This window comes from Homo sapiens, chromosome 9, assembly GCF_000001405.40.
Source record: "Homo sapiens chromosome 9, GRCh38.p14 Primary Assembly".
Taxonomy (NCBI): domain Eukaryota; kingdom Metazoa; phylum Chordata; class Mammalia; order Primates; family Hominidae; genus Homo; species Homo sapiens.
The window spans coordinates 4,345,792-4,367,083 of NC_000009.12; the positions used below are offsets into that span (position 1 = coordinate 4,345,792).

At 40.7% G+C, this 21,292-nt stretch overlaps 1 protein-coding gene across 1 annotated transcript in view; it reads right to left on the bottom strand.

Annotated features, from left to right (window-relative positions):
- Positions 1 to 21,292, bottom strand: part of GLIS3 (GLIS family zinc finger 3) — a 666,339-nt gene that overhangs the window by 521,665 nt on the left and 123,382 nt on the right. Inside the window, exons 2-3 of the mRNA XM_047422890.1 lie at positions 2,441 to 2,621; positions 1,290 to 1,392 (exon numbers count right to left, since the gene is read on the bottom strand). Of these exons, the coding sequence (XP_047278846.1) occupies positions 1,290 to 1,392; positions 2,441 to 2,470 (133 nt within the window). The 5' untranslated portion in view covers positions 2,471 to 2,621. The remainder of the gene's footprint in view (positions 1 to 1,289; positions 1,393 to 2,440; positions 2,622 to 21,292) is intronic.

Genomic DNA, 21,292 nt, shown 5'->3' on the forward strand with positions numbered 1-21,292 from the left:
AAAGTGATTGCGTCTGGGGAGTGAGAATTTGGGGAAGTGGGGAGTAAGGCAGGGAATGACACGTCTTTTTTTCTTGTTGTTTTAAGCATCAGAGCACAATTTGACTGCAAAAGAATATTGCTTTGATAAAAATGAAATTAAATTCAAAAAGAATATTCAATATTCAAAAAGAACAAATAAAATACAGTTCGAGTGGGAGATTCTAATACACTTTTTTCAAATCAGTGAGATCTAGGAGACAAAAAATAAATACAGACACAGAAGAACTAAAATTATGATCAATTCACTTGTTTTAATAGCTAAAGAATTTGACATCCATTGAAAGAAAGACATATTACAAAAATCGATTATGTACTTGCCTGTAAAGGAAACCTCAAGAAAATATGAAAACTAGAGGTTTTACAGACCTCATTCTCTAATAGGAATCCAATAAGATTAGAAATAAATGATACATAAAGGGAGCTTTGTAAATTTAGAAATTCCTTTCTCTCTTGATGCAGCCTAGCTTTCAACAGCACTTTCTCCCTGGGGATACAATACATACAAAGCTTCATTTGACAGTCAAAGCAGAGCGATGACTTTGGTGTTCTAGCCAGTGACTGCCCTGCCCTGAAGCATTAAAACTCATTGATTAAAAGGATGAAGAGCCATATGGCATCTTGATTTAGGAAGAATAAAAAATACATTAAATAATTTCTAAAGTATTATATCCATTATTCATAAGTGTGGCCATTACTTTACATCCAGAGCCACAAAATGTCAATCAACTGATAGAAAAAGAGCAGAATTGCCAGTCTCAGTTGCACCTTTATGGCCATCCTTGGTCAGCTTCTCTAGTAGGACTAACAAGCAGTGGCAACAAGATTTAATAATGGATGGAGCCGGGCGCGGTGGCTCACGCCTGTAATCCCAGCACTTTGGGAGGCCGAGGCGGGTGGATCACGAGGTCAGGAGATCGAGACCATCCCGGCTAAAACGGTGAAACCCCGTCTCTACTAAAAATACAAAAAATTAGCCGGGCGTAGTGGCGGGCGCCTGTAGTCCCAGCTACTTGGGAGGCTGAGGCAGGAGAATGGCGTGAACCCGGGAGGCGGAGCTTGCAGTGAGCCGAGATCGCGCCACTGCACTCCAGCCTGGGCGACAGAGCGAGACTCCGTCTCAAAAAAAAAAAAAAAAAAAATAATGGATGGAATTTCAGGCAATAGCTGTGTCTTAGTCCATTTTGTATTGCTATAAAGAAATATCTAAGGCTAGGTAATTTATAAGGAAAAGAGGTTTATTTGACTCACGGTTCTGCAGGCTATACAAGAAGCCTGGTGCTGTCATCTGCTTGGCTTCAGGTGAGGGCCTCAGGCCACTTCCACTCATGGCAGAAGGTAAAGAGAAGCAGGCCTGTGCAGAGATCACATGACAAGAAAGAGACAGAGGAAGTGTCAGACTCTTCTTAACAACCAGCTCTCATGGGAACTAATAGAGCAAGAACTCACTCACTACCCCTCCTCGGGGAGGGCATTAATCTACTCATGAGGGATCTGCCCTCATGACCTAAACACCTCTCATTAGGCTCCACCTCCAACATATGGGATCACATTTCAACATGAAGTTTAGGAGGACAAACATCCAAACTATAGCAACCTGAAAAAATCTTTAAAGTATCTGGATCAGGGCTACTCTCAGTGGTATGACTGTTAAAATGCAGATTCCTACACCCACTCCAGATCAAGTGAATCAGAAGACCTGGAAGTGGAGCTCAGGAATCTACATTTTCTGATGAGCTTTAAGTGAAGTTTTATATGTGTGCTGAAGTTTGAGAATTATTGACTCACATAACTCACTAATAATAGTCATCTTTCAAATAATCCAGAGTGAACTAAAATCAGGGAAAGTAATAAACCTCACATGGTAGCTTTTTGTTTGTTTGTTTTTGGTTTGGTTTTTTTGAGGTTTTTTTTTGGTGGGGGTTGGGGGAGTCTATCGCTTTACAATTTAATTCAGATGAAAATCTTAAGAATAACTACCTGACAGGCTTGAACACAACTATTTTACTGGGTAATTTTTTTAGCCTTTTGACTGTGGCTCATTAGCCATTCTAGTAAAGGGAACAATAGAGTGGAGTTTTAGCCACACATTTAGGATATGTGTATTCTTACCTCATTTGTTCATTGCCCAGGAGTACCCTCATTAAAAATCCCTTCCCAAATTAGACAGGATATGCCAAAAACCAATTTAAAATGTTCATAAAACTTTTAACTTATGATTCAACTTCTAGAAATACATTATCAAATTTCTAAAATGCACAGAGATCTTTGAATAAGTATGTTAATTACAGCATAACTTATAACAGCAAAAATCAGAATCAGCCTAAGTATCTGTGTTAGAATTAGGTTTGTCTGCATGTAAGAGAACATTTAAATAAAGCTGAAATATATTTCTTTCTTACCTGAAAGAAATTCAGAAATAGGCCATCCATGCTAATATGGTGTCTTCACAATATCATCGAGGACCAAGGTTTCTTTCCTGCCAGTTCAGCACCCTCGGGAAACAGCTTTCTGAGGTTATCTCACGATCCAAGTGCCTGTTGGAACTCCAGCCATCACCTCCACATCCCATGCAGTGGGAAGCTGATAGGAGGCAAAAGCAAAAGAATGCTGCTCTCAAATGAGTCAGCCCCCTTTAAGAAGTTTTTCTTCAAATTGATAATAACTATTCTACTTATATCTCATTGGCCAGAACTCGGTCAATGGCCACACCTACTCCAAGGAGGCTGGGAGATGTGACCTTTAATTGGACATAATATAGTCCCATTTAAATATGGGTTATCTTATTATGAAAGAAGGTGGGAACGAAATTTGAGGACTCAACTACCTGACTTTCTCCCAGTGACTCACAATATGGTATTGTTAAACAAATATGGTAAATATGCGGTCATTAAAAGTTATGTTTTAGAGGAATCTTATTCAAAAAGGAAAATGCTCCTAAGTGAAAAAAAAACAGATTAAAAAGATATAAGCTCAATATGATTCCAACTTTTATTCAACATAAATGTGCATAGAAAATACGGAAATTATAAAATCAAAATTATGTCTATTGGCTTTGTAGAGTAAAATTATGGATGGTGCTTTCTTCTTCTTTATAGTTTTTCATTTTTTCCATAGGAAACATATATTACATTTGTACTCAGCAAACATCCAGTAAACATTATTTCTAATTAGAAAAGAAGCTGAAGGAGGAAAACATTCATGAAACTCAATAATAATAAAATAATAGGAGAATGCAACATAAAAATAGGAGAATGCAACACTACTCCTTATCTAAGCTTACTAAACATCAGTTGATCCCTCAACTTTCAACTTAAAATAAGCCTTTGCCATGAGGGCTTCACTGAACACCCCAGTTGATAGCAATCTCTCCTTTCCACAACAGTTTATGATAGGTGTTGTCAGTGGCACTGGTATGCACACTTGCAGAACTGCAGACTAATGTTATTTAAATATTTTATGCAACCATATTTCTCCAAGTAGATTATATGACCCATAAAAGCCAGGCATTTGACTCTTCTAAATGCTTTATAATAGTAAATGTTCCTATATTTACTTAATAATTAACTGGAATTATTTTATTTGTATCCTGGCATGCACATTGCATACAATACCCTCTCGTAGAGTCTAATTGGTGTTGAGGATTTATATTGATGAGTAGAAAAAGAGAATGGAAATGGTCATTGCACAGAAAAAAATCCCTGTATGCTAGATGACCAAAAAGGAAAAAAATACCTAACAAAACTTTGTTAATTTAGATTGCATTTACTTAGGGAAGGAACTGAAGTACTTACCTTGCAAATTACTAGCAAAAATAAGATTCCAGGACTTCCAGACAAGAGGACACACAGAGCATCACTCTAAGCACACAGAAATGATGAATAAAAGACAGAAAAAAAAATACTTTAAGCAGGGCTTGACAGCAAAAAGGAAAAATATCCGGGTACCAGAAATGAAGAAGAAACCTAAATTCATGGTGGCAAGAAGAAATGAAGTCATGAAGCCTTCAGGGTGTCCTGAATTGGTCATTAGCCTTCAGTTTATCTGGAAGCCAGTTGAACTAGAAATCGATGAATCTTCTGTGGGGCCTGTCCTGGCAAGAGTGAGATAATCTGCTGCAGAGGCTGTGGGTGGGCAGCCCAGGCCAGCTGGCTTCAGGAATGTGAAAGAGACTTAGACGGACCAAGAGCAGTGGGGCAAAACTGACTTTGACCAAACTGAGAGAGTCAGATTGCAAGTTACACCAGCTCAGAGACAGCTGATAGCAGCATAGTGAGAAGGGATCAGGCATAGGAGTTCCATCACCGCAGAGGTCAGAGAAGACCGAGAGCTATCACAAGGCCCAGTGGCGATGGGAGACTCCCTTCCTCCACCACCGCATGGCCATGTTTGCTATACCCGCAAGGCACCTATTCACCAGCACCTTGGAGAGCAAAGAGGGAATAGGCGGAAATGTGAGGAACTGGGCACGTTTAAATCAAAAGACTGAAAATTAACTTAAAGAGACTATTTCAGTTATTGCACTGGGCCACATTTACTGGATTTGACTTAAAATTTATATTTTTTCCTCCCATCTCTATATGGATAGAAACAATTGACACAAATGGAATCAAGTAATAGAAAATTTCTTTAAACTGCATTTTCACTATTCACCTGTGCACAGTGTAAATTTATAATCCTGCCGTACTATATCTCTCTGAAATTTTTAAAAATATTTTTATTTTAAAGTCTCTTTCAGAACTGCTTTATTATCTCTATTTTGGGGTGGGGATAAGGAAGACTGAACTCTTCTTCCAGAATCCAAAATGTTAAATTGGACAAAAAGACCCCACCTTTGGTATTTCTCTCAAATCAAGTAATATCCTCCTTCATTCTGGACCAAGGAAGAGTTGGGATTGATGTGTCTCTGCTGCCTCTATGTCTCTTCTACCCAAAATGCCTTGGGGTAAAAAACATCAGGGTTTGTTTTGTTTTGTTTTGTTTTTGTTTTTGTTTGTTTTTGTTTTCTTCCAGTTTCTGTCTCCTCAGGACTTTCCCTAGTACCACTAGTACCAGAACCAGCTACGTAATTTTGGGGCCCAGTTCAAAATGAACAAGGGCTCTTTGATCAATAAACCATTTGTGGCTCTTCTAAGCCTGGGGCCCTGTGTGTCTGTGTAGGTCACACCGCCATGAAGCTTGTCCTATCTATATACAAGGCCTTGAAGTGCTGGGCCCTGGGCTTCACTTCTCTGTATAATAATCCATTTCTTTCTGATTCTGGCCTGTTTCTTAGACCTTAAGGCTGGTTGGGATAGCCTCTCTACACTTACAGGGAGCTGGAGAATTGCTTGAACACAGGAGGTGGAGGTTGCAGTGAGCCAAGATCAGGCCACTGCACTCCAGCCTGGGAGACAGAGTGAGACTCTGTCTCAAAAGAAACAAACAAACAAACAATTAACTGGGTGTGGTTATAGTCCCAATAAGCTGGGAGGCTGAGGAAGGAGGATCACTTGAACCTGGGAGGTTGAAGCTTCAGTGAACTGTAATCGCACCACTGCACTCAAGCATGGGCAACAGAGTGTCTCAAAAAAAAAAAAAAAAAAGGGAGGGTGAGGAGAAATCTTTTACATATCTCATAAAATATTTAGTGCTTGAGTTCATTACAAAAGTTTAGAATATACACTGAAAAACACAAAAATATCTTTCTCTAAGAGTTCTTTATTACTCAATTTATCACAGTAGTTGAAAAGGAATTTTCCATTTAATTGTTCAGATTTAGTGAAATTTTCATGGGCAAAAAGAGAAAAAAGTATGTAGTTCGGTAATGATGAACATCAAATGATAAGGAAAGATTTCATTTTTTTAAAAAAATGTTGTTTTTCCTTGAACTAGGGAGCACAAATGATACCCAAAGGACTCTCTGTCACTTACTGATGGGCCTTAGATTTTTAAAATTAGTTTCTAAGCCTCTTCAAAGAATCCAATTTTATCTTTAAGCTAGAAAACTGGAGCACAAAGAAGTCATTTTCAGAGAAAATGAATGCACAGTTTTCTTAAAAAAAAAATGCACACAGGATTCTGAATCTGGAGAAAAATATAAAACTAGTAGTGCCTGTATTTGAGTTACATTTTGGATCTAAAGAGTTTGATGTAACTCCTAGAGGGTTAATAGCTGCTCTTGGTTAAAAAGTAAATAAGCAAGATCAATTTTCTAAAATCTCTTTCTTTTCATGAAGTAAACTTCAGCGTAAGTACAAGCTACAGTGTTCGTGAAGACAGACTCACAACTACGATGGAAAAGTAGATTTCTGTTATTATAGAGGAAGCTTGTCTCAATCCATGCTTTGTCTCCTTTACATAAAAAAATACAGTCATTGTATTAAACTCTGCCAACATCAGTAAAACTCAGGCGACACCCAGTTGTGTTCTCTTTGGGGAGGCTAAGTGATTTTCTCAAAGTCATGCAGGAATATGGCTCAGGAACAAGGGAGCCACCTGAGGTTGGCCTATGACTACTAAAATTACACTGAGCCCTTTGTGTAGAGTCCCTTGGTCATTTATCTCCAAATTAAAATAGCTCACAATTCACCTTGGGTCCTTTTGGCCTGTGAGGGTATGGGGACATAGAAATACAGAGGACTAAGGCATGGTGGGGCATCTTTTGGGTAAACCCAAGGGCCTTCCCTGATTCCCAGGATCAGAGAGCACAGAATGGAAACCAAACAACCATGCTCTTTAGAGATGGCCGTTTAAGTGAACTCTGTCTTGGGTTAGGCTACTTCTGTAGAGGGAGGTTTCTTCCTTTGGCCATCACCAGCTTTTGTGGGCACAGACCTGGTTAGTGGGGAGATGATCAAGACCATCGCAGGCCTGAAGGGCTATGTGTGGCCATGGGCAGTTCAGCTGGCCCTTGTGCCTTTGTGCTGCTGGCTCTTGGCAACAATACTTGGATGGAGAGATCAAAATACAGAATTGGTCATAAATAAACTTTCTTGGATGTTGGCCAAAAATGAATCTTCATAGTTAGGTAAACCATGAAGAGAATTTGTGAACTTTAAAAGAAAACCATATCCTGTGGTGCATGGAAAAAATCCAGTTTTCTATACATTTAGTAGGTGTAAGTAGCCACTTGTCAGGCTAAGATATAGGGTCCTCTCGCTCCTTCAGGGTTCCAGACCTCAGTGGTTTTTTGGCTCATTGGTTTGGTTAGGAGATCAGTCAGCTCTCTGGAAAGTTTTTTCAGCCTGGGGTATGGTGGCCACCTCTCAAGACTCAGCCGTGTCTTTGGATTCCTGGGTGAACAATACAACTTGACCGAAATTTCTGTTGCTCTGAGACTCTGAGAAGTTCCCTCTCTTGACATCCCTGTGCCATTAAAGGCTAAAACTTGAGGCAAAAGTAAGCAGACTTCTGTACCCTACCAGCCAGGCAAAACCACAGGCTGGGTACAGATGTCTGTAGCCCAGCAACTCCTCAAAGACTCCACTGTCTTTTTTGTGCATGAAATTGCTTGCTATATGATCTGATTTTGTGAAGTCTCGGTCCTCTGATTTCAGGCAGCTTTCTTTAAACTATGAGAAGGAGGTGTGGGAGTTAACGAGCAGCAAAACTACTCAAGTCCATTGAGCCTCAGGATTCCAAAGTTCAGGGCCAGGGATTGTCTCTGGACTCAGCCCAGCCAAGAAATGAGTAAGGCATTTCCAGAACTGCCTCTGGGCACTGGCATGTGTACTTGTGTGTTGACAGCAAAACTAAGGACTGTACTCTGATTCCTTACTGAAGAGTATCTCTCAGCGGGTCCAAAGTCAAGAAGTTACCCAAAACGGGCCGTAATCTGGAGTAAGCTAGAGTCTAAGATCATCTCGAGATAGAGCCAGATCCCTCCCCTAAACCACACAGCAGAATAGTCCTCCGTCGTTTTTCTGGGGGCCTCCTTATCCGCTGCACAAAGATGTATGTTCTGAATTATATGTGTTGAACTTAATTCGGTGCCTGTAGCTGTTGATTTGCTTTTGTTTCCCACAGTCTCCTCTGAAGAACTGCAGGAAATCTGTCGCCCAGGATGGAGTGCAGTGGCGCGACCTCGGCTCACTGCAAGCTCAGTCTCCCAGGTTCACGCCATTCTCCTGCCTCAGCCTACCCAGCAGCTGGGACTACAGGAGCACGCCGCCACACCCGGCTATTTTTTTTTTTTTTTTGTATTTTTAGTAGAGACAGGGTCTCACCGTGTTAGCCAGGATGGTCTCTATCTCCTGACCTCGTGATCCGCCTGCCTCAGCCTCCCAAAGCGCTGGGATTACAGGCGTGAGCCACCACGCCCGGCCAACTGCAGGAAAATTCTTGATAGCCAAGAGGGCTTTTTAAAAAAGAGTGTTATGCTAAACTTGCAAATCAGACAATGGCAGGCAAAGGCACATGAAATTAGACTCCCCATCTGAAACTGAGTACTTTCTCCAGCCAAACTTCCTGAGACCTTTTTGTGTGTTTGAATGAGATTTAGTTCGCACTCTTGAAACAGGACACCTCTCTTCATGCCATATGGATGAGGGTATAAGCACCCTGTTAGCAGGCATGGGGTCCCTAGCCAGAGTCACCTCCTTGAGTGAGTGGGTGATTATTTCTTTTCTTTTGCTATATTTAACCAAGAATTATACACTACATCCCAGGATCTCACTTTCTATAGACTATATTCCCTACAATAATAACTGCTTACCCTCCAGAATCCACGTGACCCATCTTATTCAGGTCAAAACCTCAGTGCACGGGATTGTCCCAGGCACAGTTTAGCACAGCCGCACTCACATGGAACAGTGCACTATTCAAGGGGCTTTCTCGAGCCTCTCACTGCGGTCCTGGGATCAGGAGAATAACCCCATTGGCAGCACTGGAGTGATGCATAAGTGTCCCTGAGCTCCTTGATCAGATGACACTCTCCCTCTAGGAAAACATGCTACCCCAAATTCCACCCTCAAAGAGTCATTCCTTTGGAATAAGCTACTGTCACCTTTAAGAGTTCCCTGAGTAGCCGGACATGGTGGCTCATGCCTGTAATCCCAACACTTTGGGAGGCCGAGGTGGGCGGATCACTAGGTCAGGAGATCGAGACCATCCTGGCTAACACGGCGAAACCCCATCTCTACTAAAAATACCAAAAATTACCCAGGCGTGGTGGCGGGTGCCTGTAGTCCCAGGTACTCGGGAGGCTGAAGTGGGAGAATTGCTTGAACCCTGGAGGCTTGAACCCGGGAGGCGGAGGTTGCAGTGAGCCGAGATCACACCACTGCACTCTTAGCCTGGGCGACAGAGCGAGACTCCATCTCGAAAAAAAAAAGAAAAAGAAAAAGAAAAAAGAGAGAGAGTTCCCTGAGTCAAAGTAGTAGAGTTGGAAAGTGTCCTGGATTTGGAGTTGGGCACATCTGGGTCCCAAAGCAAACTCTGCCACTTGGCGGCTGTGTGACTATCTGCAAGCAACTTAACCTCCTTGAGCCTCAGGTTGGCTTTGTGTAAACTTACAGGGCTCCTGTAAGGCAGGGCTCATTTAGGCAATGCATATAGAGGGGTAAGCACATGGCTGATATCTTGTAGGTGCCCAATAAACTATAGGTATCACTATGATTATTAAATACAAGCACTTCTAGGAACAATAACTTGGCACGAAATAGACAAGTTTCCTTTGACACAGTACATAGCTAGCTCAAAATCAGGTAAAGAATGAAATGGGTGCTACTCTCCTAGTGACACCTCATAGCCCAGGAACTGTAAGAAGGATCTCAGAAAAGAGGGGAAGGAGGAGTCAAAGACAAGCTTTATCACCTTTGGAATCTGGCTTCTTAATCATACCCCATCTTTTAACAGCTAGGGACACTAACTCAGCAAACCTCTTGGCTAATGTCATATAGTTAATTGAGCAGCAGCTGGAATGAGAGCCTATACACCCTGTTTCCAGCCATAGACCCTTTTCACCAACTGAGCATTGCACCTATACAATGATGAAAGAGTCAGTGGTGGCAAAACACTGGATCAGGAATCAAATACCTGCTTTCTAACTAGAAAGGGGCATGTGGGAAAGTCCTGGGGGCAATGAAATGTTCTATATCTTGATTAGCATGCGTTTGGTATGGTTACATAGACATACATATTTATCAAAATGTATCAACTGGGCACTTCAGTTCTGTGTGTTCTATGGTACAAAAATTATACATCAGTAAAATTAGTTAGTCAAAAAATATATTTTCCAGCCCCAGCTCTAACACTAATGAGCTGAGTGGTCTTGGCCAAGTCAATCCAAGTCGACTCTCTTTGCTTTACCTTTCTTTTCCTTGTAATGATGGGTTATAATTAGACAAAGTTCCTTCCACCTCAACAATATGATTTGGTAAACAGGACCTCTTTCTTTCATTTCAGTCGCTATTGTATTCACACTGAGTTCAGCAGCAGAGCCGGAGAGACTGGCCCACAATTTAGGAGGACTGGGGACTGGTATGTGCAAGTGATCCAGTGTCTTTCTTTTGCATCACTAACTCTCCAGCTACACTTTAAAGAGCATGATTGGTTTTCCACAGGGATCCGACAAAGCAATATGATTGAGCCCTGGTATGAGAATGATCTGGCCTCAGAAAAGTTGTATCTGCCACCAGAGATAACAACTTTCACATGGAGAGCAGAGAAAATGTTTCCTGGACAATGGGAATGACTGACAGATATTAGATGGGAGGAAATTGAAGGCTTTGCCAAGTTTCATGATAAAATGCTATTTCTCACGGTAGGGTCAAGCTGTCTCTATTGCAGCTATTGCTTTTAAAATACAAAGGGAACACAGCAGATTCAACAGAGTGCATCAGATTTTACAAAGAGTATGTGATCAAAGACTGCTTGTTTCATTTATAAATGAAATCGCATGACTATTAGAGCAACAAAGATCATCAACAATGAATTTGGAATTTGCTGATGAACCAAAAGCTGAAAAACATCAGTAAGAAAATCTCTAAAGGTTTGATTACAAAGCCTTTTGGATGTAAAATGCCCACCAATGTTTGCAAGATTACACATGTAAAAAGGTTAAATTGGACTTTCAGGCAAGAGCATTATACCAGGAGCTGGAATTGGCATTTTCAAAATATTTTAATAAGTGTTTCAAAAGGTGGAATATATTGACTGGTACGAAATCTTACTGTTTCCAAAGACTAGAAATCTAAAATTGAAATCTAGCATGTATAAATCATTGAATATTAGTGAGTTTACTTATACAAACAGAACTGAAACAAAAGTTCTATTTTAGTTTCAAGTTGCATTTAAAAATGAGTGGAATTTGTTCTTATTTAAAATCTTTGGGGAATAACCCTGTGATCTTTAATTTTGTATCAACTTGACTGGGTTACAAGGTGCCCAGAAGTTTGGTTAAACTTTATTCTGGTTGTGTCTGTGAAGGTGTTTCTGGATGAAATTAACATTTGAATCAGTAGATTGAATAAAGCAGATTGCCCCTCCCAAGTGTGGGTGGGCCTCATCCAATCCCCTGGAAGCTTTAATAGAACCACAGCCTGAGTAAGGAAGAATCCCCTCTCTGACTGTTTTCAAGCTGGGAAATCAGTCTTCTCTTGCCTTCAGTTTGGACTAGATTTTACACTATCGCTCTCCTGCTTCTCAGGCCTCCAGACTCAGACTTTATCCCATAAACTCTCCTGGGTTTCCAGCTTGCTGACTGTAGATCTCGGGACTTTTCAGCCTCCAGAATAATGTGAACTAATTCCTGTGTGTGTGTGTGTGTGTGTGTGTGTGCATGTGTATGTGTCTTCTATTGGGTCTGTTTCTCTAGAAAACTCCTCAAATGACTCATTGACTCACGTGAACATCATTCAACTTTCAACTTTTTGGGGATTAGGTATCAAAATTTACATTGAGCATAAGCCTTTGATCAAACTAGTGGCCTTCTAGGAATTTATCCTACAGAAATACCTGGACATGGTCAAAGAACTGAATACAGGGATCAGGGCCACCACATTGCATAGTGTCAGGAGGCACCATTCCCATTGAATCTGTGTCAATGGTGCCTCTGAAGTGGACAAAGATGTTTGCTGTTAAATTGTTTGAAATGGCAAACGAACAACGCAAATTTCCACCATTAGAGGGTCATTAAACAAGTTATATTACATCTACATTATAGGATATTATGGATATTATGCCTTTGTTTTTTAAAAAATAAGATAGGTCTGTATGATCTAATAAGAACAGATGCCCAAGATGAGAAAAGCAAGGACAAGGGCAGAACAGTGTGTACAGTATGTTCCCATTTGTGTGTATGTATATGTGTGTATGTACATATCCATATGTATATATGTGTATGTGTGTATATATGCAAAGAAAATTTCCAGAAGGCTGCATAAACTGTAAATACTAGTTGCTGCTAGAAAGTGAGACTGGTCGCCAGAGTAACAAGGAATTCTGCTTTTTTTTGTATACTCGTTTTAATGCTCGATTTTTTTTAACCATGGCCTAGTATCACTTTTGTAATTTACAAAAAAAAGAGACTAATACAAAGTTGATAAATTTATTCAATAATTATCAGGTACCAAGCAATGTCCCAAGTACCTTCACAAACCGAAATGTTCATTGTCCAGTGAAATTTTCTCATTTCATGGTATAGTTTTTGCTGGTAGTATAATTGGTGGTGATGTTAGGAGTGGTGAATTAAACAAGCATTTTTGTGTACCTACTATGTTCCAGCACGTTTCTAGTTGCTGGGGATACACCAGGGCCCAAGAAGAGAAAATATTGGCCTTCGTAATCCTTACCATCTCCCTATTTAGATGGGAGTTTTGCAGTCTGTGCACCACATTCACATGGCCTTGGCATGCCTTGTACAGTAGTCTTTCTACAGATGCTCCAGAGGAATGGGCACACGTGTGTATGTGTGCACATATGTGTTTATGTGTGTACATATGTGTCCAGGTTACAGTCTGACTGGCATTCAACAGATAACCTATATGGTAAGCAGATGAGGTGTGTAAAAGGTCCCTGTAAGATGTAAAATCTTAGTAATGACCAGAGTCATCTTATAGAAGTCAGTGTGGGCTACCACTGCTGCTGCCTCCACTCTCCCACTCCAAGACTTTCAGGCTGGCTGTAGTTCAAGATGTGGCTGGGTTCCTAATCCCTTAACACTCCTCACTAGTCCCATCCTCAGCAATCCCAACTGGTAGGACCATGGTGGCTTGTAGAGGCAGAGACTTGCAAAGTTTCCTGAAAGGGAGGTTCCAAGTACCTCATTCTGGTTTGTTGGTCATCCAGGTTTACTACTCTCCTGCGGTCGAAAGTGGCTTCTTCCAGTTAAGTCAATTGCTGCAGTTGTTCCAGTATGTCCCACACCCTAAACGTTCAGGAACGCCCACCGCTCTGCATACACCGAGATGAGCGCGTGTGAATCTCCCTGAGCACTTCCTGCTTCCTGGCTCCATTGCTTGAGTGGCTGGAACTGGCATATGGCTCATCAGATCTTTTCTCCTTACCTTACTGCCTTTACCTAGTGGATTCACCCAAACTGCTTTTGGAATCACTGTCCTTAGAAACAGCTGCTTACCTTCCTTCACAGCAAAGAGCAGGACAGGCTTCTGCATGCTATTTCTACTGTAATGAGACTAAATCCTACAATCTTTCAGCTGACCCCTTGGTGAGCTACTGCCCACCTCCTACCACCTTTAAGTGATTCCCTCTCATCTGCAGAGGAATAATAGCTTCTGACTGTTGACAGGGGCAACAGACCCACTAAATGTTTTATTTAATATTTTGTAGAAAGAACTTGGGAGTATACAGTACCCGTGAGATCCAAGACCTGGATTTTAATTTAATTTTAGAACTAAAATGTATTTAAAATGGTAACATTGCCTGCATTGGCTCTTGGGAGTACAATAAACAGACATTGATTTCTGCTGAAGTTAACATCAAGAATTATTGAACTGAGAGGTACACACTGCCCCGGTCTCCACTTTAGTTAATATTTACCTTGAAAAATAATTAATCTTGATGTTAAATAAAAGCGGGCACCAATATATGTATTCTTCCTTTGTTCTATGCTGAGATGAATGTTAAGTATATAACATATAAATGTATTTTCTGTATATACTTATATATACATTTATTTTCTGTATATATTTACAAGTGTGTTTATATATACATATAATGTATTTTAAGCATTTTACTGGAATGTCAGGATTTGCAAAAAAAAAAAAAATTACACAAATTGAAGCCCACATAAGGTATTCCCCATCTCCTAATGAAGTCATCATTTCCCTTTGCTGTTTTTACTCAATGAGGGCACAGGTTTTATGCAAACCATGCTATTTGTTCTGGAGAGGCAGCAGGCTGAGGAGGATTGGAATCATCACCCAACCGCCTGACCCACCTGTGGCTTTTAGTCAGTTTAACATCAACGCGCTCTGTGTCTCAGCATGTTTTCCACATGTGAAGAGGAGCAGCAACAAAAGAGCATGCGACTGACTATGTTTGGTCATTAGGAGAAAAACATGATCCATCTCAGAGACTGAAACCCTCCCAGCCAAAGTCCACTTGCTTTCTGTACCTGGAAAATCATCCCCACCAGCTCAGACAGATGTGACTGATGGCCAGTAATGCTAATACAAATATTACTAGTAATATTAATTTGCTGTCGTTTCAATAACTGCTAACATACCTTAAGCCCTTTGCATTTACTTCGCCACTTTAGCCTTTTCCGAGGATTATCTCATTTATTCCTCACCTTAACTCGATGAGTTGATATTATCGGACCCATTTTATAAAAGAAAAAATTGAGGATGAGAGATATCCAGTCCTTTGCTCATGGCAAAGGACCATTAATAAGTTTCAGGGTTAACGTTTGAACCAATCCTTTTTTATTCCAAAGCTTATGTTCTTAAAATTGTGTTAGGCTGCCTTTTCCTGACACAGAGTTGTGTTGAGTGTGTTGAGGCACAGACACCTTGAAGGGTGCTGCAGAAAGAGTTGTTCACTTGGGAGCAGGCATTTCCTAGCCATGTGCATTTGGGAATGATGCCACTGAGGTGGAGGAGCTGGCTGCTCAGGGAGGCACATGACAAGAGGAAACAGAGGAATATCTGATGGCATTATTTCCACAATAGCCAGCCTCCAAATAGCCTTGACCTCATTCTTGCATTGTCCCAATGCCTTTGTCCTAGCCTTGACATTTTCTTTCTGAAACAGGCCACACTTTGCAGCATCAGTCAAGAGTACACATGAAACTCAACACTATTGTTATTGGATGCTGTGGAACACCTTTGGTCCCTACTTTAGGGCCGATGCACTCATTCCTGGGAGTGTTATTGCTGCCAGCTGCCAGCTGTCCCTCTTTGGAAACTGTCCTCTGTAGAAAGGAGCAGTTTCACTGTTTTCTCTAGGCAGTCTTAATGTAATGACTGGTGGATGTAAGGCAGTACCAAAGACTGACCTCCTTGTCTCAAGAAGGGACTCCTCTGATGGGACACCTCAGTTCCAAAGGTCCCTGTGAGATTGGCTGAAATATCTCTTGCAATTGCATTAAAGTTAAACTTCTCCTTCTCCTTCTGACCAATCTTGCTTCTCTTACTCCCCTAAAGATGCTGTTCCCTTTCCTGTGGAACCCAATCTAAGACAACAGTTCATATAAATACAATAGGGTTGACCCCGTTCCCTTCCATTCTCTAATCAATAGTGTTCTGCATGCAAGGAGATTTAGATTTACAAGGCTGTGGTGTATTAACCACTTCTCTCTGTTACTCGCCTGAGATGCCAAGATAAATCCTGGAACAGAATCTAAGTAGAAGCCCAAGCTTTTGGGTCTCCACATTTCTACCCTAGCCAGTCCATAAGCAGTTGTGATTTGACCTTGCTCTGACCTCGCAAATATAAAGGGAAGAGTCGGCATTAAAAGTCAGTGAAGGCTCCTAACCACCTTTCCTTACCTTGTTGTAACATGATCATTTTATTACATCTTAAAACCCTAAATTTGGTTGCAGATCAGTAGAAAATCTACAGCCTAATTTGAAGCTCTTTCCCCAATGGTAAAGGGAGGGACCTTGTAAATTGAAGTTTGTATGTTGTTTTTGCAAGTTTGGAATGTTATCTCTCTTCTCCTCATCCAAAAGAAAGAAAATATGCAAGCAGTTTAATGGGAAAAATCTAAGTGAAATTCCAACGATTAATTGATATCCTTTCCCTAGATTAGCAAAAAATAAATGGTCAGCAAAGAGGGATAAATCTACTTACAAAATATTGGATCACTAAAGGGTGCTCACCAGCTCCCCGCAAGAGCCACACATGCCTAGGGAGGCAGCTGTCAAGACAAAACCCAGGACTGGCCATTGTGTCTCAAATTAGTCTCTTTTCCCTGAAACCAGTGGAAAGGGGGAGATTTTTTAAATGCATTTTTGCTATGGATTTTTTTCCTTACTTCTTTCCTTCTTTCTTTTTACCTACTTTCCTTTCTTTTAAAAGAATATTCTCTCAGCTAGGAAGGAATCTCTCATTCTTTTTGCTGACTGGCTTGTGCACAACTGGAAATTATAAAAGAAATTGCTGTATCATTGATGTAGTAAGAAAACAGGAAGACAATTTTCATCCCAAAATGAGCCATCTCAGCTGAAGCTCCCTTTGTAGTTGATGACCACACGCTTTCCATCTCGGCATGGGGCCAGTTTTATTAAAATCCTATAGCAACGGCTTATTTTTCAAACAGCACTCAAAAACAGGCATTTTATGATGAATTTCCCTCAAAGTTGCTCATGGTCATGTGTTTGCTGCCTTCAAGGACTCCAGTGGCAAAGGAATCTTACCTTATGCGGCAATGCCTGGATATTATTCTTGTGGTCAAAAACATTTTTGCACCCTCAGGTAACGCCCCATCAAAGAGGAGGATGCATGGAAAAGCACAAAGGAACTAGGGGCCCAGCTTTTGGTGCATCATTTCATTCCACAAATAGAGCAAACTCTGCAGGACCTAGAGAGCTTGCCAGAGAACCCTGCTATCATGTTGGAGAACAATGGGGGAGGCATTCAAAATGCCTAATTTCAAGGAGCCTGGATCAGAATGAGGTAGAATTTGAGGAGTTAGAGGGAGGAAGGAGAGAGATGAAGAAGGTAGCAAGGGAGAAATGCTGGCAATCAAAGAGAAGATAGAGGCAGAAGAAAAAGAGAGGAAAAGAGAAGAGAGGAGAGAAGTGAACACTGGTCCATTATTTACTCTGTGAATTGGAGATCAGTTCCATTAGGCCCAAGAGACAGCTTTGACTTAGGAAACCACCAAAAATAGAAGTGATCAAAAACCAATAATTAAGAATAAGCTGGCTGGGTGCAGTGGCTCACACATGTAATCTCAGCACTTTGGGAGGCCCAGGTGGGTGGGTCACTTGAGGTCAGGAGTTCAAGACCAGCCTGGCCAACATGGTAAAACCCCGTCTCTACTAAAAATACAAAAATTAGCCAGGTGTGGTGGCACATGCCTGTAGTCCCAGCTACTTGAGAGGCTGAGGTAGTAGAATTGCTTGAATCCCTGAGGCAGAGGTTGCAGTGAGCTGAGATGGCACCACTGCACTCCTGGGTGACAGAGACTCAGAAGAAGCAAAGAAGGTTTTCAATAACTTGGTTGTTTTAACACCAAAAATCTGGGAATCATTAGGATAAGTGATTAAAATTAACTTGCTTTTTTAAAAAAAGCAATTAAACTTCAAACATATTTAAGATACTTACAAATTAAACACAAATTTCAGTGTAGAAATTCTGCAATACATATTGCAGCAATAAGAGTCCTGTCCAAGAGATGTTTCCTAGCATCTGTGTAGCTGGCATCCAGAACTGGATTCTCTCCACCTCTATCAATTTTCAACAGATAGGCACTCAGCAACATTTCTAAGTACACTGGTTCACGTCTTTGCTCTACCCATAGAAATTTCATTTCATTTGTCTTGTCTGAAAATACATGCATACAAATATGCAACGATCATTGATCAACCCTTAGTACCAGCTAAATAATCCCACAAGAGCTGGATGGCTGTTGAAGTTAATGAGCTGGGTCACAACTTCTTGGAACAATTCATGCTAGGCTCCAAGAGTGTTTCCAGTTATGAGGAAGCAGGGTGGGACTCCTAGTCCAGTATTACAAAAGAGATTTCAAGAGTTCGCAATCTTTGGCCTAAATTTCCCTTTGGTAGCCTTGGTTCAACAGTAGGTAGCATATAATCCCTATAGAGACTTATCTAATAAATATTAAAAGCATATACCATTTATGCAAAATGTGTGGTCAAGTCACAAAGCCTGTCCTTCAGCTGAATAAAATATCCAAGGGTCTCATTCTAAAAGTGGAAATACTTAATAATTTTCATTTGATCTTCAGATATATCCCTCAGTCTACTGAAAAACTATTAACAAACAGAACAACTAATCCCTCCCCAAATCTCTGTAGACCTTTGGTCATCTCTTTGAAATTAATTCTGAAAAACTGGATATTCTTAGTTTACATTAGAAAATTCCTTCTTCAGAAACAGTGTATAGCATACCTTGGGTGAGGATAAGTCTTAAGGTACAATATTTGGCCATTTTTAAGTGTGAACAGTTTCATTAATAGGAAATTGGTTAAATTGCTTCAATAAATGATAATATTTTCAGTTAAAGGAATTGTATGCTACCAATTAAAATTATGGTGTAAATGATGCTCACAATATGTAAGTAGTGAATAAAGTCAGGTTACAAAACAATATCCATAATGCAATATTGCTGAGGCTCAAAATGTCTATGTAGGCATAGAAAAATATCTCAAACATTATGTTCCAAAATGTTAATACTTTAACAGTGATTATTTTCTAAAGATGAGATAATGCTTATCTTTTTATTTTCTTCTTTATATTTTTATTACACTTTATATATATATATATATTATGTATTCATGCTGTCATCATGTATTGCTTTTTTTTTTTTTTTTTTTTTTTAAAGAGACAGGGTCCTGCTATGTTGCCCTATTGACCAGGCTGAAGCACAGCGGCTATTCACAGGTGCAATCATAGCACACTACAGCCTTCAACTCCTGGGCTCAAGCAATCCTCTTGCCTCAGCCTCCCAAGTAGCCAGAACTACAGGTGTCTGCTACTGCACCTGGCATTTGTTGCTTTTAAAATAAGAAAACTACACAGTGATTTTTATTTTGGAGTGAAAAGAAATTGGATATTTTTAACTTATGAAAAAAGTCCATGCTCTTTCAAGACAATTTCTTTGTAAGACAGAAATTTCTTTGTTCAGAGGATCCTGTTCCTGGTGTAGGTCATCAGATATTATCAGAAAACAGTACTTCCAGTTTCCACAGACATACTGCGAAGTGTTATGTGTGGGTGGAGAAAGGTAGTTGGAATAGAGATGGCTTATACCATGCAAAAGATCACATGCATGGCGTAAGATATGAGAAAGTTCATATGCAAATTAGAAAGATCAAATCAGGCTGGGTGCGGTGGCTCATGCCTGTAATCACTTTGGGAGGCTGAGTCAGGTGGATCATGAGGTCAGGAGTTTGAGACTAGCCTGGCCAATATGGTAAAACCCCAACTCTACTAAAAGTATAAAAAATTAGCCTGGCATGGTGGCGGGTGCCTATAGTCCCAGCTACTCAGGGGCTGAGGCAGGAGAATCGCTTGAACCTGGGAGGTGGAGGTTGCAGTCAGCCAAGATCATGCCACTGCACTCCAGCCTGGGTGACAGAGTGAGACTCCATCTCAAAAAAAAAGAAAAAAGAAAAGAAAAGAAAGATAAAATCAAACATAATAAAAACCTTGCATTGCATCTTATCACCCTGACTTGCTCACTTGGATGGACAAAAGTTGAGACTCAGAAAACGTCATCTGAAAAACTGGATGACTACTTGCTTGCAGTGCTGCAAAGCTCTGCTCCAACTCACCCTACTCCACTGACTGCCAAAGTATTTCTTTTACATAATATAGTGGAAAAATCACGTTATGCTTCACATCTAAAATGTCACCACCAAGTATTCATTTGAGGTATCAATATCTTCTTTTAAAACACAACACCCCTCCACCCCAAAGGGTCAAGGAGCTACGAGAATGTGATGGGTGTTCATGTATTCACACTCTAGAGTCTATTCAAATCAGTTTAACCAAATTCTTTGTTTCAAACTCACATTCTAAGGTGTCATTGAAAAGTGTAGGAAGGAGAGCTAGCAGGGAAGGAAAGGCCGTTGAAAATGCTTCGGTGGTGAACTTCGGACTGATTTTGAGCATAAGGGTATGGGGCACCCAGAAGACAGGGAGAAATGGGCCCAGTGAGATAGGACAGAGGATATAAAGGGAAATGTGGAATTAACTTTAACCGTCCTTAATTTGGTCTATCCTATCCTTATGGCTGTATTTAAACCAACCAAAGCAAAGCAGTTCACCTGAACATTTAATTAGATTTTACTTTGATCATATACCCAGCCAGAATCATTGTCGTCAAATAATTTTAACTAGAAAAGAGTAGACTTCTTTAGCTAATTGCCTAAGCCTGAGTACTTTCAAGCGAATCCAAGGCAACGAGTTAAAACGTGAAAAAAAACCCTCACAACCTTTTCCTGGGATGGGAGGAAAGGAGGCCCACACCATGCCAAATAATTGGCTTGACTAGATTTTTCCCGCCTGAGATGACCCACAGCTTGGGGGTCATAAAGACACTGCCTCTCTGTTTCTTTCCTGTATTCAGAGAAGGAACGTTCCATTCCACGCAATTCATGAATTTTAAAAACCATGAACCTTCCTTCACATTCTGGAGGAACACAAACGTTTTCCTGTAAGAGAGCTGTTTTGAGCATAAATGCTCAAGTGATTGCGATGGCGACGAGGAGAGGCCTTTTCAGACTGTCTTTGTTCTGAGCTGGCTGGAGGCTCCAGGCCTAGGAGTGCCAGTAAGTTCTGGACATATGGTTGGGCACAGAGAGCAGGGACTGAATTTACCAACCACCAACTGCCATAACGGTCTTGTCACTGGAAAATGGCCAAACAGTTGAGCCAACTGCCAATGCCACCATGTTGTCAGGAGACAATGGGCCAGAGGAAAATTACAGGCTCGTGGAAGACCACTAGCTCCCTCTTGTGGTCGAGCACAATGGCTAAATTTCTGCCACTTTCCAGCAGAAAGACATCCATCCCTGAATTCCGTGAATGAAGGATGAGGATGCTTCCTAAAGCAATCCTATCAGCCTATTTGAATAGCAGCCTTTATCTATACCTTTCCAGAGAGCTAATATTAAAACC